This window comes from Homo sapiens, chromosome 20, assembly GCF_000001405.40.
Source record: "Homo sapiens chromosome 20, GRCh38.p14 Primary Assembly".
Lineage (NCBI taxonomy): Eukaryota > Metazoa > Chordata > Mammalia > Primates > Hominidae > Homo > Homo sapiens.
Window position 1 is genome coordinate 20456989 of NC_000020.11, and position 18432 is coordinate 20475420.

At 39.9% G+C, this 18432-nt stretch overlaps 1 protein-coding gene across 18 annotated transcripts in view, besides 1 other annotated feature; it reads right to left on the reverse strand.

The window, feature by feature from the left end:
- RALGAPA2 (Ral GTPase activating protein catalytic subunit alpha 2) overlaps positions 1-18432 on the reverse strand; it is a 323115-nt gene that overhangs the window by 67459 nt on the left and 237224 nt on the right. For 13 of the 18 annotated variants that reach the window (XR_007067471.1, XR_937111.3, XR_007067470.1 and 10 more), the window contains one exon: positions 15841-15968. Coding sequence is in view for 13 of the 18 variants with exons in the window: in XM_011529310.3 (XP_011527612.1) it covers positions 15841-15968 (128 nt within the window). In the remaining 5 variants the exon portion in view is untranslated. Of the gene's footprint in view, positions 1-15641; positions 15969-18432 lie in introns of those variants that run through there. The other 5 variants (XM_047440320.1, XM_047440321.1, XM_011529309.2 and 2 more) reach the window with 3 other exon arrangements.
- Positions 6981-7030: an enhancer, noted in NCBI's record as "active region_17611". NCBI's record gives its function as "activates an Ori minimal core promoter by ATAC-STARR-seq in GM12878 lymphoblastoid cells {active_cell/tissue: GM12878}" and the evidence as "EXISTENCE:reporter gene assay evidence [ECO:0000049][PMID:35858748]".

Sequence of the window (18432 nt, forward strand, 5' to 3'; positions counted from 1 at the left end):
CTTAATTTTGCAAGTTTGCAGACTCTCATGTGAGAAGACAATGTTAGGACTTCTATTAATATTTATCTTTTTATCTCCAATGATGAACTCAATTAAGCTTTACTGAAATTTAACACGTGCCTGACACTTGCACCCTTCTTGCTAGGTCATCTATCAGACTGTCCTAGGTCAGGTTCAATGTATGAGCTGTACTAAGAAAGAGAAGGAGAGGGAGCGAGGGGCTGGCAGTAGAGCCCTCATTTACTTTCAGCACAGGGAGAGGTACCATGGTTTACATGAGCCTCCAAACTGAAGTGTTGAACTTTATTATCCTATAAATCGTATTATCTTTACAATTCACTGTTCTGAGGCAGAGCATGAACATGGAAATCTTTTGTCGCACACACGAGTTTGCCATTTATCTCACAGGAAAGATCTTATAAAAGCTGAAATTTGAATATAAAGATGAGTTGCTCATTTTTCTTTTTTATGGAAAGACAAATGTCCTAAATTTGGTGACCTTTTCTGTGATGACAAGGAGCTGAATTCGTTCATTCGGCGTGTACTCACTGAAAAAATATTTACTCTGCAGCAGGTGCTGAGGCTACATCCAGGGTTGGTATTCACCTGGAAAACACCCGCATGGCTGGCGTCCTGGTCAGTGCCAAACTGGTGTCCTTATGTACCCACTGTTAAATATTTCCACTCTCACCCTTGGAGGCACCAGTGAACAAAGCAGACAGAAATCTCTGCCCTCACGCAGGGGGCACGGTGTGAGTAAAATCAGTGAATTACATAGTAACTGAGAGGGTGATAAAGGCTGTGGGAACACACAGCATGGGCAGCCCAGGCAGTGCTGGGAGGTGTGGGTGCACATGTGTGCGGGGCTCTCGCATAGGGAGACAGTGAAGAGGGGCCAAGGGAACATGCCACGTGGGCATCTGGGGAGCAGTAGAGGCAGGGGGCATGGAGGGCACAGGCCTCCCCTGAAGGCCTGGATGCTGAGGGAGGCAGGGCCCCTGGTGAGGGTGAGCTGGCAGTGACGTGGCTGACTCACACTTTAGTCGCTGGCCCTGGCTGATGCTCCGAGGAGACTGGGGAGGAGGCCACGGTCAGCAATGCGCCCTTAGCCATTCCTTTAGGAAGAAAGATACTGCTCCCACAAAAGAAAAGGAGAGCGCTGACACTGAGTGAGAGAGTAACTGCTATTTGAAAGAAACATGCTGTAAAGAGAAAGCCTTCAATTGAGATGTTGGAAAATGTTGCCTTCAGCATGGGAATTTATTGTCGAAGATGGTTTCTGTTTTCAGAAAGCACTCATATCTCTACTATCAAAACACTCATAAACAGAATTTTATTTGTTTCTAAACTTCCAAATAAGAGCTGAGTACATTTTGAATCTGTTTGTCCAAAAAAAATACATTTTTTATACATATAATATATGTTATATATAATATATATGTATTTTTTATATTACATATAATACATATGTATTTTATATAATATATAATATATATGTATTTTATATATATTATATATAATATATATGTATTTTATATATATTATATATAATATATATGTATTTTATATATATTATATATATAATATATATACCAATACAATAAGAAATATATGAGCTGTACTAAGCTGTACTAAGAAAGAGAAGGAGAGGGAGCAAGGGGCTGGCAGTAGAGCCCTCATTCAATATATATATATATAGACCTATATATATATACACACACACACCTATATATATATATACACACACCTATATATATATACATACACACCTATATATATATAGACCTATATATATATAGACCTATATATATATAGACCTATATATATATAGACCTATATATATATATAGACCTATATATATATAGACCTATATATATATATATATATACACACACACAAATAAATAAAATATATATATACCAATACAACAACTGATCTCACATCAAGGAAGATGGAAATTTCCTTCCAAATGTCAACAGGAACCTTCATAGAACTGGTGGCTAAGAATGTAAACTGAGCACGAACCTGTGATTTAGGAGGTCAAGACAACAATCTGCTCCAGCTGGTCTATGTCCTCTTTGCAAAGTTTTGTTTCCGGCTATGAAACCAAGTTATCAAAATACACTGAGCTTAGATGGACCCCTTGGAATCACTGAATCACAGAACTATTAAACTAAGATTATAAAAATAAAGCAGCACATTTTAATTCCACTGCACTCACTAAAGCACTACTGATATCCTAATAAAAGCAAAACAATTTTACACTATTGAATATAAAATACTTCAGATTACTATTTCCTCTTTATTGCATCCTTTAAAAATTCTCAGTATTGACTATACTTTATGTCATAATGTACTAGTAAAGCAGAACTTGTACATACTTTAAAATAAATCAGTATATGCACTACTGAATGGCATGCTTAAGAGGTTTTTTTGCTTTTTTTTTTTTTTTAGGTCTTTGGGTGGGGTATGTAATAAGAAAAAGCCTGCAGGCTTCTGAGGTAGGTAGTGGGTTGGAGGCAGGTGTCCTCACCCACTAAAGTGAGGACTGCGACAGTCCGGCCTCTGTGCCCTCCTCTGGAATGGAATGGGGAGTGGCGACCATACAGCCTCAAGAGCATGCTGTTCACCAAGACCCTTGCGCCCTGAAAAAATGCCTTAGCACCCTGGAATGGGCCATGGACACCAATATAATAAATTATAATCAGCGTATGAATATCTTTTTGTAAAACAAACAAATTAACAAAGTTATGACATTTCCCACCTATCAAGTTATAGATGACACACACGTGAAGAGATAACTAATGAGAGGTACACAAAAACGTGAATTATTTGAAGCAGCAGCTAGAAATAATCTTTTCCCTTCGAGCTCCCATGACCCACTGATTCTCTCTCTTGTATCTTGTGTTGCAGTGACTCAACAAATACTCACTGGGCACTGACCACATGCCTCTCCCAGAGCATAGGCTGCATCCTACCCTATGTCACAGTTATAACCCATCCTGGCTGTGAAGCCCCCTGAGGCCACTCACCTCTGCCTGCCCTCTACAGTGCTTGCCACGGCTATACCGATGTTGGTTGCAGGAAGAACACAGAAGCATGGCCACCCTGATTTACCATGGCACATGTGGCAGGGTCTGGGCCCTGAGATGTTCTTCTAGTTGGGGCTGGGAGAACGAGCGAGGGGCCAGGCCCTCCTCTACACTGCTGCATCCATCAGCTCAACCGTTCATTCATTCTTCAGTCTCATATTTATATATACTTCATTCCATACATCCTTACAATAATCTGTCTTGGAGGGATTATTTTCCTCATTTTAGAGTAAGGAAACTGACAGAGGTAAAGTATTCAAAGCCAAAAACTAAGTTATTATTTAATTTAAACTAACATCAAAACCCAAGGTCTGAGGTCAGCTATGACATGTTACCTGCTAAGCTGGGCATGACAATAAACAAGATACACTTTAAAATTTATCTGGCACTTGTAGTAAAATTGCTGCCATGAAGGAAAGAGAATATCCCCAAACTCTTCTGTGCAAGAACTCTTCTCACTGAGAACCAAGACTTGACCATAAGGGTCCAGTGTTATGGTGTCAGTTACACGGCCCAACATGAGACGTAGAAAAAGGTTTTACATTGCTTTATGTTTCCCCTAAATTAAAAAACAAACAAAACATGTTTACTATCCTACTGAGTTATTGTCAGGGGCATTTTAGTTAAACAATTGGTCTACATAACAAACCCACTGAGGAAACTGGCGGTTCAGCTCGTGCACACATATGGGCATACCAGCTCTGACAGCACACAGCAGCTCTGGAACTCCAAAGCATGACTGACCTGCTACCTTATTGAATCTTGATGACCTAAAAAAGTGATCACTGGGCAAATTAATCCAGAGAGAAGGAGTGTGGAATCAGAGTCTGGAAATTTATGTCAGAGAAAGCCAATATAAGTTAAAAGGAAAGCGCATCTCATCCCAATCTGAGCTGAAACCCACACTTAGGCTAAAATTCTACAAAAAATGGGGTGGTTTATGTGAAGTGCTTTCCTTAGTCAAATTTTCTGCAAAAATTATATGCATTTGACAAAATTATAGAGCATAAGTACAAAACCAATCTGTTTCTTTTTATTCAAATAATTTAGATGTTGTTTTCTGATGTAGTCTTCTGATGTGCATATGTCATTATAAGCAAAGAATGTTTATCCTGTTAAAGAGGCATACATTCTATTTTTCTAAATCAATGAGTAAACGGTATTTCTGAGACATTCTAAAGAGGCTCTTCTTTTTATAGGGGTTAAAAATTATATGAAAATACTCCTTAAATTTAAAACTAACTTACATTTTTACTGATATTCTTATTAAAATTGGTTTCTTTGGAGTATAAATTCAATTTAACTGAGTTCAATTTTTTTAATTTCAAAAGTGGGAAGAAAACACACATCACAGCTAAGCCGAACTCTCAGCAGGCAAATGTAATGTGATGACAGTTGCCATCTTCTGGGAGAAAGCTATGGCTCTTGGATGTTAAAGGCAGAGCATGATAGTAAGCAGCAGCAGCTCTCTCCATCAGCTCTACGCCTTCTTTAAATTCCACTGAGGATGGCAGTTTGGATGGAGACCCCAAAATCTATTCTGTCCATCTGTTTTATTATTCTTAGAACAACTGTCAAAAGTTGCCCAGGGATCAAGTTGCAAACATACTAATTTGCCTTTGAAAAGTAGGCCCTGGGGGAATTCTGGAACTCTGCTTATAAATTCAGAATCCCATCAGCCAGCAAGCCTGCCCTACCCTTTGTGGAGGTATGAGACTTTGCACTTCCAGGCATACATCTGCCTCAAAGCCGGGATGCACTGATATACTCACATCCCACTTCATAGGCAAATGAAGGGAGAACCAAAGGGACTTGGCATCTTAAGGGCTGGCTTGTTCCATGACAAGCAGACCCTGAGGTTTCAGGAGGCAGCCCCTTCATTGGTGTTGGATTAAGGACCAAAGCTTTGTGCTGGAGAGTTTAAACAAGTGGACAAGGCAGAGGGACAACATATTCTGTGCTCTTTTATATCCTAGGACCAAAGAGGAAGATTGAAGACCGAAATAAAGCATTAGAAAAAATAAGCTAAGGAAAGATAAAAATCATAAGCCACTAAACATTGTAGCATTTCATTTTTGTGATTCTGATGAAAAGAGTTACAAAAAGACCATCTGAACATACAGAATATCAGGTGTAGGTTTTCTAAGGAATAATGAGAAATCACCCAAGAGTTGGCTATTTAAAATATTGTGGCATTTTGGGGACATGCTATCCTACTAGAAACGAAAGCAGCTGTGCACTTCTCAAGTTGAATGTGTTAAAGCCATGTGCAAAACACAATGTAAACATTAAAGTGCATCTGGACTCCCTAGGGCTGGCACACGGGACACCTGATCATCACGGAGGAGAAAAGGGAGTGGGCACCAGCACAGAACCCTGCAGTATCCTTCCTTCCTCCACCCTGGCCCCAATGGTCTCTATCTAAGGCTTTCAAAGCACAGGGCCTCAGAAATGTATCTGAAGCACAAAATTCAAAGTACCCCTTTTAGAGTGTGGTAAAATTCCTCAGTAGTAAAACAGAAAGGACACCCTTTCAAGGCTAACATGATGGCATTTGGGTCGTACTCACCCCTAGATTACCAAAAAAGTATTCTGCTTTCATTAAAAAATTTACTTGAGTGTGTTGCAAATTACTCCAGCACGGAAACCTGCTGGGAGCTCACTGTATACGCCAGGGCAGACTCTGCACAGAAGGGACCACCATTTGGACTTGCCTGCTTTGTCCTTCTTTGGCTTTGCAGCGTCTCTTATTCTAATAAGGTATGTATTATCCTTTTTAGAGATTTGAATAACAGAAAGTCTCACTTTCAAAATATTGCTTATAATCCCAGAGTCCACTAAACGTTCTGTGGATGCTGTTTATGGCATTCTGTTCCTTTCAACATGGGACTGATAATTAGTAAACTGAAATTTGATTAATGTTGGATTAAGAGGTTCTGATGTCTCACTGCAATGTGTTATTTCAGTCTGTGGGCACCAGAAGAGATTGTCTTTAGGAAACTTGTTCCCTTCCCTTTCCAGAATAGGAGGATGGGCTTAAAACCCTGACTTTTTTTTTTTTTGTTAAAGAATTCAGTTTGTAGTCAACAGTTTATAATGTAGGATTCAGTTTTTTTTTTTTCTGTCTCACTGTTTTTTGTTTGTTTTCTCACTTTGAAGCTGGGGCCAATGAATTAACTATTTAAGAGAGAACAAAATAAACCTGAAATAAAAGTCTTCTTCCAAAAATGCCAAGGGTGGGCCTTCCTGGTTGAGTAAGTGATTTGGCATGGATAAACGGTTCAGACAGCTTTAGATCTCACCAGGCTTTGTACCCGCTTTTGATAATATTAAGAACTCCTCTGAAAACAAAGGAGCCGTGTGATATAAGTATCAAAGCCTATGAAAATGACTAGATAATATTTAAAGGGAAAATTAATAAATTTAGACTACTTTGTGCTTTTTTAAATTATGATTTTTATTAGGATTCATTAGGATTATAAAAAGTCTTGTAATGGCCAGACTTTTTTCTATGCTTCATGGCCAGAAGATTCCATGTCTCTTCCTTGCCTGTGTTTTAAAATTTATAATCTTGTTTGCCTACTGCTGAAAAGTGTGGAAGAATCAGGAATAATGGCTCCCTTTGAAGCTCTGTCATTCCCAAAGTAACCATCTGAATGCTAAAGAAATATTGTCATTTATGGAATGACCTTTTGCTCTTTGAATACTCAGACATTAATAAATGTTAAATGCTTAGCAATCCTAGCAGCACTATGAAAAAGGTAAGTTGGGTCAGCAAATACCCTCTTGCATGCTTTTGATATGATGACCATTTCCACTTTTCTAACAGCTTTCTAATAGCAAAAATGTATTTGGGAACAACAGTGGAATTTGTGTCATCATGACCAAATGATTACGGTGCAAACCCGAGATTCTTCTGGGGCCCAGCAGGCTTCTGGTCCCTATGGAAACGAAACCTCAGATATTGTCCTCCACTCAGCTGGAGGACGAAGCGCCAGGAGGCTTTTGTGCTTGGTGAGATTTCTTCCACAACCTTCCCGCAACAGACCCTAGTGCTTCCTCCAGACTCTTTTCTAATTGAGATGCAAATTAATCTCTCTGGCTGATTACACTTCCCTTAAAGCTACTGACAAATGCAGCTGTAACCAGAGTTTGCGGACTTTCCAACAAGTGACTTCAGCTGTCAGTATTTGCATGCTCAGCCAAGGCCCGCCCGCTCCCAGTCTCAGAGCCATGGAGAGCTTCCTTTAGGCATTACAAGCCTGTTTTATTTATGTGTATACAATTTACATACAATTAAGAGTTAAAAACAAAAAACCACAACTAGGTCCCTAGGATTTATAAATGGACTCTGACAATGAAATTAGGCCTTTTCAGACACTTCTTTCTGACCCAGGTCTAGAGAGTCACTCCTTTCTCAGGAGGCCAAGGCTTTGATGGTACATTTCCCTCCCACTTCCTTCTTGTCTGCAAGGTTTCTGACTTTAACAATGTTTGAATTCAATCTCTCTTTCAAAAACCAACTAAATAAACTAATGGCTCTAAGAAAATGGGATCACTTCCTTTATAGTGATCTCAATAAGATTCTGTTAATTTAAAATCAAATATGAAGTTACCATTCTAATTGCCAAGATTTCCATATAAATGTGCTTCAACAACTTAGGGGTGATAATGTTAGAATGATTATTTAGAGCACAATAAAAATATGCACAAAACACCCAGTAAGAAGAAAAAAACACAAAAACCAATTTTTCGGTAAAAATTATTTGCTTCCTCTTGAATCCTATCTATTTTTGAGTTCCTACTATGTGTCAGGTGCTATTTTAAGTGTTCAGGATCCAGCTGTAAACTAAACATTCAAAAATGGAAAAGAGAGAGTTAATGTATATTTATATACATACATATGCATACATATTCTATTCCTAAGGCTATATTTCACCTTAGGCAATTAAGGCCTTCAATTTTGAAAAAGTATCATTTTATAAAATATGATTTACTTTTGGCTTCTGTTTTCCAAAATGTTTCTTACCAAATTACTCTCCAGCTTCTTCCCTCCCCCCGCAGGCCTTCACACACACACACACACACACACACACACACACACACACACACACACACTCTCTCATACTAGGGGACAGCAGCAGAATGGACACAAGGCCCCCACTGGGAAAGCCAGCACTGTGGCAAGAGTGCCACATCTGAGACAGAGGATAGAGGAGGTTCAGGCTGGCAAGGAGTGAGTCAGAGCAGAGACGACTATGGGAGGGTGAGGGGTCCTTGGCACAGGAGGGCCTCAAGGGCAGTGTGAAGGGTGGGGTATAGCAGAGTGGCTGAGAGGAGACTCCCAGGTTAGGGGTCATCCCAGTGGGAAGCAGCACGCTCCCTATGATGGTTGGTAGTGAGATGCAGTGACCCACTGGGGATGGAGCTGAGAGAGGGGGGAAAGAGAGAAAGAAGGAAGAATGAGGCTGTTCCTGATATTCCCCTAGGGGGAGCATCAGCCTGGTTTCTCCACAGGCTGTGAGGTTGAGAATAACTTCTGAAGGGATGGTCTTTTTTCTAACAGTGAGATGTCACTCTATAGCAAAAATAGCAGAGTGTACCACCTTCTCTCGAGATTTCTCCTGCACCTTCGCACTTCTCACGGGCCTCATTTCCATGCACCAAGAGTGGAGGGCAGCTCCTACCCCAGGGAACCAGCCTTTCACACAGAAGAGGACCTTCTGCAAGGCACTGAATGAACAGCATTCTACCAGCCTTTATTTTAATACCCACAATGGTAAAAAAGTAAATATTTCCTGAGGCCTAACTCCACAGTTAGGTGGTTCCATTTTTACAACAGAGGTTTGAAACTCCAGTATCTGCAAGGGCCAGGCTGATAATATACAACAATTGCAGGTAACGTTTGCTGGGCTTTCACCAAGGAACAGGCACTGTTTTACCTGCTTGGCCCATTAGCCCTCTCACCAACTCAGAGAGACCAAATGGTGGGTGCCATGGTGGTGGTGCCTGGCACCAGGCCTCAGCACTGGGGAGACACCAGGAGGGACTGTGGTGACCGTGACAGCACATATTCTGTGGAGAGACTGCTGTCAGTAGAAGGAAGGCCCCATAGGGTCAGATATTCTGATTCTTCAGGAGAAGTCAAAAGTCTAGATTTTTTAAAAATGCAAACTCTCCCAATTTTTCAGCATGGCTGACAAACTCAATTTTTAGTTTAGTTTTTTGGTAATGTGAGGAGGACAACTGCAGTTAAAACAAAGCCCATCTGTGGGCTGGATTTGGTGTGCTGGCAGCTGGTCTGCCCACTCTGGTTTTTGAATGTTTGACTTGACACTGAGATAAAGCTGCTTCCTGGTTGCTTCTATTCACTGGTCACAGTTCTGCAGACTGCCATCCTCTTTTAATACCTCTCAGACTCCTGAAACAATTACTTCTTGGTTTTAATGGCTCTCCATTTGGTTACAATTTCTCTGGATTGGCTCTGGGTTGGTCGAGGTCCCTTTTAAAATGTGGCCCCAGGGCTGCACACCACCTTTGGATGCTCCCTGAGGCTGCAGGAGCACAGGCCGTAGTTCCTGTGACTGGACCTCATGTTTCCTATGCAGAGGTCTCAAGAGAATGCTGGTGTGGCTGGCTGTTGCATCACTCTCATCTCTCATCTCCAATCTGTGGCCAACCGAAATCCTCAGACATTGTTCACAATGACTGCTATGAAACCACATCACTCTCACCCTGTACTCAGGCAGCTGATTATCCAAAGCCCAGTACATAACGTTACATTTTGCCCTCTTAAACCTCATCTTGCTGGCTTGGGCCTGGAAGTCTCTCATCTGTTGAGATAATCCTAATGTGTGACTTTGCATCGTGTCAAATTAGTTAACCCTCTCAGCTTTCTGACAAATGGTGGCTTGATAAACATGTTTTAGACCTTTATGAAAGTTACTGAAAAAACTGCTGACTGGAAGACGGGTTAACAGCAAAGCTGTGGCATCGAAACCATACAAGACACACAAAGCTTCTTGCTGACTGGTGCCCATGAATTAATGTATTTTAGATTTGGTCACAGTGAAATCACCCAACTCTCAGGGGCCCATATTTCTCTCTTATACCTGCCAGATGATAGTATTTTATTTTATATTTTACCAAAATCAAGATGTATATGCTTCCTCTAATCTCCGAAAATAGTAATCTTATAAAACACACAGTAAGTGTGTTCCGGATACTTTGTCAACATATTCATTTCTGAAGGCTCACAGGCTATTTAGTAACCTAGTCTAATAATTTTACAAAGGATCCATGCAACATTCCAAAATTCATCCTTTAATCCTTTTTGAAAACAAAATATTTTCCTGTTTCCAATTTTGGGTACATCCTTTATTCTACATGATTTCTAAAAAAATATTTCTTGTGGTTCTGAGATTATTTGTTCTACAGCCAGATACACGTGGCCCTGCAGTCTGGAGCTTAGGTGCAAGAGCCATTGATTGATTGATTGATTGATTGATTGATTGTATTCTTAGCGACTTGAGTTTTAATTTATCCACTTAGGCACTTCTCTGTCCCTTCCCATTTGAAGGAGATGTGATAGAGAAGACGGAAGTCATTCAGATACTGGCTAACAGTGCCCACCTGCTAATTTACAGAGTCAAGAGCTCCTCTTTGAATCTTGATGTGAGTATTTTAACTATGAACGCATCAGAGAACGCAACCTTGTGCAGCTATATTGGTTGCTCCTCCAGGCCTCCCCTTTTTCTTTCTCAGAGGAATAATTTTAAGTTTTTAATAAAAATCCCCTTATTAAAAATCTCTAATTCCTCATTCCCTTTTACAGTCTCAGCCCACCCAGGGGAATATGCTATTTCTTCCTCTGAACTCTTCTTTTTGTAAGGTGCTTCCCAAGTGTCTAGGGTACAGGTCTACCAACATTTTTTTCCCATTCTTCTTCTTCTTTTTTCCCTCCCATTCTTATACAAACTCTACTGAAAGCTCATTACTTTTTGCAACGTCCAACGTCAAAAATCCATTCCTTCAAATTACTAAGAAATGGATCCAAAACAAAAATAGTAGTGCCTCTTGTTTGCATCTCTCAGAAGAGAGATGAGATTGTCTGCCAGCCAGGAATTTATCAAACACATGTCACCTTTGGTTGAATGTATGTCAGAGCTGATATCAAGTAGTAGAAATCCCCACTACAGCTATATTTTGCTTTGGGCCTGTTTAGAAATTTGGATTAGAAAAGCATGGCCATCCCTCCCATCTGGGGGTATAACTCCATTCTGGCTGCCGCTCTTCAATGCAGCCCCTCTCCCCATGCATTTTTCATTCACAGGCACGTGTTGACCTCACTCAGGAGTGTTTCTTTGTGGTGCTGCTACTATCTGATATGTTTTAACATCTTACCTTGCAGTAATTCAGTTCTAGGTCCTCTTATACCCAATCCTCCAGGTGAAGACTTGAGTCTGCTAGAACCAGTCATGAATAAAACCACCCAGTAGGATGTCTCTTTCTTGGCCAGTCTGCTGAAACTAACCCTTCATTTCTCTCTTTCCTGCTTTTCTGTGAAACCATTCTCTCCTATTCCCGTCTTTCTTTATCTCTGCCCCCTCCTTTCAAGCCATTTCTTCAAATGGCCCAGAGAGTTCTGTCTGCGATTCTGTTCTCATACCACCAAGAGACCACCGTTCTATTCTTCTCATTCTCTCCACACCCCCACAAATCTAGCAGGTCCCACACTGACTTAGTCCACCTCCTTTACCTAGATATCCAATCCATCATCCCTGCCACTGCCTTCGACGAGACCCCTGCTCTCTCTCAGAACCCCGTCCATGGCCCCTTAAATGTTTCCATCACCTCCATCCTGTGTGTGTGTGTGTGTGTGTTTGTGTGTGTGTGTGTGTGTGTGTGTGTATTCTATACTCTGCCATATGGAAGCATCTGTCATTCTCAAATGTGATAATATGATGTGCTCTTTCAAAGCCTGGTCCATGAACAAACATTGGCCCCTCATTTGGAGTATCTTCACATTTCTATTCCTAGCGGCAACGACTGTGCCTGGCACATGGCAGGGGCACTGTAAATGTTGACGAATGCTAACTGGTGCTGCCCGGCAAAATAGAACACATGGTACCATTTGACTTATTTTCTGAAATGTATGGAGATGAATGGAAAAAATAAAGATCTGTCCAGGAAAAAGAACCAAAGATCCCACTGAACAAGAAAGAAACAAGGTTGTTATAGCTTTAGGGAGAGGAGTCATTTTTGAAGATGTGAAAATTCGTAGCAGAATTTAGCAATGAGATTCCAAAGTCATGGGTCTAAGAGGGGACACTCTGGTACTATCAAACACATATGTTAACTGAAAATGAAAGTACATTTCACTTGTGAAAGAATGAGATACAAAATTATTTTTTCTTAGGCAGCCCAGTTCTCTCCATCAAATGCTGATAGTTACAGCGAGTAGAGATGGTGAATGCCATTGAGACTATTGTTCTATTGAAGTGGACGTTTATTTTAAAAAGCCACCATCTGTTTGATTCAGGGTGAACTCCTCCTAACGGGCACACTGCATATTGTGTGGCAACCTTTTCCCTGAAACAAGTTATTTGATGAGAAGAATGAAAACCTTGGCTCAAATGGTTGTGGAAACGTCTATCAGTTGACCACGGTTTGATTTTGGAATCTTTAGTCGGCTTGGGAATGGTAAACATAACATGTGGCAAGCTTCCCATTTACAACCCTCTAGGCACAGGAATAGGCTCTTTGATTGCCCATGAGGGATAGAAAAAGCAGATGGCAGGTGAGTTGGCCCTCATCACTCAGAAAAGCAGTGGCCACAAGATGAAGGCTCCACTTGACAAATTTGATTTAGCCTGCAGAGGACATCACAGGAGAACCCAGGAGGGACAAAGGGGCTGCGATGAACCGTTCCTGAGGGTGCTTTCCAAAGATACCCCTACTGTGCTTACATTTTTTTTTAATCATATAAGACAATGGTATTTTTCAGTCTTCTATGTGCCTTTGCTGCAGAGTTCCAACTGTTAACTCAGCCAAGGGCTCCCAAATAAGAACTGCTTTGATATTGATTCTAACTGCATTTACTTCTCAAAAAGACCCCCAAAGGGAAAATTTGCTCCAGCAATGCCCCCATCCTTAGCTTAATTAGAAATGTTTCATTTTCTTAAACATAGCGAACAAAATTAATATGTAACTGCCCACATTTCCACTTCTAGTTAAATATTATAAAAACTAAAGCCCAACTGACACGATTTTAAGGCAGTAAGTATCAGTCATTAGCTGGGGAGAGGACAGAGAGATAAGAAAAACTACTCCAAAGTAATTCCACTGGCTCGTTTCTTTAGTTGTCATCTTAGCACAGCATCCAGAGTAAACTCCCACAGCTGCCTGATGTCAGGTGCAATAAGTGGGGAGGGAGTGTAGGGCCCATCATGCCCAGCATGTGTAATCTCCCCAAGGGCTGAGGAGATCAGCAGTACCTTGGGCACACCTAGAACCGGGGCTGGCTATATAACCTGAGGGTCCCAGTGCAAAATGAAAATATAGGGCTCCTTTTTCAAAAAATAGGAAAAAATGCCTTTAAAGGTCCTAAAATATAAAGGTTTTCCTATTTGTCTGCAATCTCTCAACTTGTCATGGTATTTTTTATTTGCTATTTAATGTTATTCTAACATTACTGTTTTCCATTTTATTTGTTTTCTCTTATTATATTCCTTATTTCTGTCCTGAATATTAGCCCTTCTGCAGACAGAAATTAAAAGAATAGAGTAGTTAAATGATTGCAAAGTTTTCCCCACTAACTCCATCTCTATAAAAAATTAGGTATAACAGTTGATTTCTTGTTTTAAACAATTTATTTGAATAATACCAATTAAATTTTCTCCAGGTACAAGACAAAAAAAAGTTTAAAATATTGATAATGATCAACATAATAGTTTTTAAAATATTTTTCCTAATTTCTGTACTACATTGTTGTTTGAGATGTCAAGTTAGCTATTTTGTGAGTTAGAGTACATTTACTAACACACAATAGCATCAGTAGCCCTAGCTGGTATCCACATTAGTCCTGATGTGTCACTGCTTGAAAAGTTTTCAAAGTGATTCTGAATAGTATCCTTTGAACTTTTAAAAATACCATTTTCCCTAAACCTGATCATTCCAATTGTATCACATTAATTCTTATTTGAGAAAGCAGTGTTAAACAAAATAACAAAGCAAGTATTTTATAATGAGAAGTTCAGTAAGTAGAGAAGGTGACATGACAAAAGTCACAATGGAATTAATATAAAATGGAATTTTCTCATTTGTAAAATAAGATTTTTTTTTTTTTTTTTTTTTTGCTGCCTTGGTCCAACATACTTGACTGATGCGTGCCCAGCTCGTCCTAGTTGACATGCAAACTGACAAACTAATCGCTGAATAGTTCTTTCTCATTTCTGCCAAGAGGCTCTTTTTAATAGTATGTGAAATAAAAACTCCATGCTGAAGGCCAAATTGACACCAGCCACAAGATTACGTCTACAGTGTTGTGGAAATCACTGCAAAGAATGCCATCTCCAAAACACTCACCACCAGCCTGGACAAAGCACGAGAGAGTACACTGAAGGGAATAATCCTGCCCTGGCCCCCAGGGGAGGGACCAGATGGGACCTAATAGCTCTTTTCTACTACTCATTTCTATGATAATTTTAAGTTGCCACATGGCATATGTATTTTTTTTTAATCTAAAGGCAGAATATCAGTCAATGAAGTGACCAGGATTTTAATGAAAGGTATTTTTTCATGAACCGTATCTATTCACATGGGATAGTTTTCATCTACCCCCAACTCTCACTTGCTATAGCAACACATCACTTACTATCAGGTTGGGAGAAGTATATATAGAGGTCAAACACAATATGTTTCAAATTATTATCAATACCAATTAGAAACAAAGAGATTCTAAGTTTTATTAGGAGGTCACTTTTTTTGCATCAATTTTATAAGGTCACCCATCTTAATCTCTTTTTCTTATAACTTGAGATCATGCTTGAATTTAAGGACTACAGCAGGCCAATTAATGTTTGAGGAAAAAATTTTAGGAGTGAAATTTATTCTGTTTTTGGAAACAAAATCAGGAACTAGAGAAAATATCAATGATTTGGGAAAATTACAAAAGAATTTCTAGCTATTCCTATTGATAAGTCCAAATGCAACTTAATTCAGGACATCTTTCCCTCTACCCTCAACCAAATGCAATTTCTATCTCCTCTGATCTTCCAGAAACCTACTTGCACTTCTCAGGTGGTACCTGCCACATTCTTTGATTTATTAGGGTCATTTCATTTGCTTTGGTTTCTGGTAGGCACTCTGAATGAGCGATACGTTTTGCTCAGCATCCCACCTTATATACAATGGACTGCCACAAATAAGAGGGATACAGGATGAGACTGAACGTGGGGCAAAATACCTAAGAAGATATGAGCATCTCATAATGGTCACAGCTTCTCAGACACAAACGTATGTGAGTAAATTATGAAAGTAAACTCTAAGTTTAATGCAGCATAAAATTATTATATTTAATATAAATTAACAAATGCTATGAAAAACCACTATGTTATTTTTAACAGAGGTTGAAAAAAATTCTCTTCCCTCTTCAATTCAGTTTTGAATACTTACCTCTTATGAAAAACTGCCAGGAATCTTGATTCTGGGATGGTTAGTAAGTTACACATTTAAAGCAAAAAGATACAAGCTCTGGTAGAGTGGGATGAGGCACTTCACAGCCCTGCTGGCGTTGATGCACGTGGCACATACAAGGCTTGGCAGCAGCTTCCCACTCACTATGGCTCCATCAAACAGAGGCCCAAAAAATGGAACCTGTTGATTTGAAATGGAAAAACAAATTTTAAAAACTGATAAAAGTCAAATCAAAGATATGAGAGTAGCTGACTGATGTCAGACCTGCAATGAGCACTTAAGCTGTCACCCACAGAGCAGACGCTGACCTTAACAGGACACAGGTCTAGGGCTTTCAAATTGAGTGAAGCAGGACTGCCCCACAATGCTCCTTTACTAGGGATTCTTCAGCAAAACTTTCAATGACAAAATTTTACCAGGTTCTTCGTTTTTTCTCTTCTGTTGTCATTTACAGAAATGGTGTTGCTCTTAAGTGCCTACATCATGTGAATTATGCATGATACACAGACATGCTTCACTGCACACTATCCTTGCATCTGTCTGAAACCAGTTATGGAACTGGTAATGTTCCTGCCATGGGTCCTGATGTATATTAACTCTTAAAGGAGATGATGATGATCCCTGTCAACAACTACAAAGTCCTACACAGTCCTCATTCTTCTCGACCTTTTCCCCCTCTGCTTCCAAGATACTGCATTACCTTCATTTCCTTCTACTTTTTTTTGAGACAGGGTCTCCTTCTCTCACCCAAACTGGAGTGTAGTGGCACAATCATAGCCCATTGCAGCCTGGAACTTCTGGGCTCAAGCATCCTCCCACCTCAGTCTCCTGAGTAGCTGGGATTACAGTTGCACCACCACACCCAGCTTCTGTTTTTAATAGAGACTGGCTTTTCTTAGCTGAACCCATTTCTGTTATGTGGAAAACTCACAAGTTTCTGTGCTTGCCTTTTTTGGATTTATTTCTTCTCTCTCCTTTTTCCCCCATTAGAATTTCTTTAATTTTATTCAGTAACATGCAGATTGTAAGTTCCATGAGATCACAATTCTTACATGAGCTCCATGAGATCATGTAACTCTTATATTCATTCACTTATTACTCCCCTATTCATGTATTCAGAAAATATTTATTATGTGTTGGACACTGTTCTACTCACTGCAGAAACAACAGTGAATAGTACAAAAATCCCTGAATTTATTGAGCTTGGAATTTATTGGAGATTTTAGAGAATAAACAGTATAAACATATAAAATATATGACAGGCAGGAAAAGTGCTAAGGTAAAAATAAAGCAGGGAAGAGCAATATAACTTTATTTTTGGGAGGGGTCTCCAGTTGGCTCTAATGGCCAGGGTGGGCTTTAAGAAGAGGATGACATTTCAGTAAAGGCCTAAAGAAAGTGATGAATGAACCACAAGCTATGAGAACATCTAACGGAAGAACATTCCAGGCAGAGTAACAGCACAGGCCTTGTGGTGGGAGTAGAATTAGTATGTTTAAGCAACCATGGCTGGGGCCAAGCGAGAAAAAGGAAGAATTAAGAGCTAAAGTCAAGCAGGTCACAAGGGGTGCTTTATAGGAAGTTTTAAGGGTTCTGGATTTCTGTTCTGAGTAAGATCAAATCCTCCTGAGGATTTAGGGAAGCAGGGGATATGATCTAAAATACATTTTAAAGGTATTGTTTTGGCACCTGTGTTGACAAAACTGCAAAGGGGAATTATGGAGACTAGCTGGTGACTACTGAATAAAGCAAGAGATGGTGGTAATGGCTTGGATCAGAATGGCAGCAGAAGTGGAGAAAGGTGACAGATATATTTTGAAGGTAGAGTTGTCAGGATTTGTTGAGGATGGTTAATGAGGTGGGAGAGACAGAGAGGTGTCAAGGATGATGCCACAGTTTCTGGCCTGGCCATTGGAAGGCTGGAGCTACGTTTTCCTGAAATGGAGAAGACTGAGAGGGAGGGTCAATAGCTCAACTTCAGACATGCTAAGTTAGAGATGCCTACTGGGTATCCAGTGATGATGTATTGGGCAGGAGTAGCTATACCATGCTAGAGTCAGGGGAAAGGCCTAGGTTGAAGCTGTTCACTTAGAGATGATGTTTCTAGCCATGAGATCACATAACATCAACAAAAGATCAAGAAAAGAGACTCAATGACTATATCCTCTGGCCTTCCAATGTTTAGAGCTTAGAGACATGAGAAACAATTAGAAAAGAAAGAGTGGCTGGAGATGGAGCAAGAAAACCCCTTCTGAGTAGCACTGTACCTGACACACAATTGGAAGGCAAATACCTGCTAAATGAGTTACATTCATTAATATTTTAAATAATTTAAATTAATGAATGTGGGTCTCCATCCTAGGTCTTTAAACTTTTCTCAAAAACTATTTATTTGTAAAGCCCCTTTTCTGTGGTTGGCATTGGTGAAGGTGCTTGGGATACAATAATGAAGGAGAGACTGTCTCTGCCCATAAAGAGCTGACATGGTAAGAAAACTATGGACTAATATCTCTCAGCAATGATGCAAAAATCCTTTATAATTTTTTTGTAAATTAAACCCAGCAAGATAAAAAAGGACAATATATCTTATCAAGCAGAATTTTCCATTGGAACTCAAGGTTCATTTAACATTCATAAATCCATC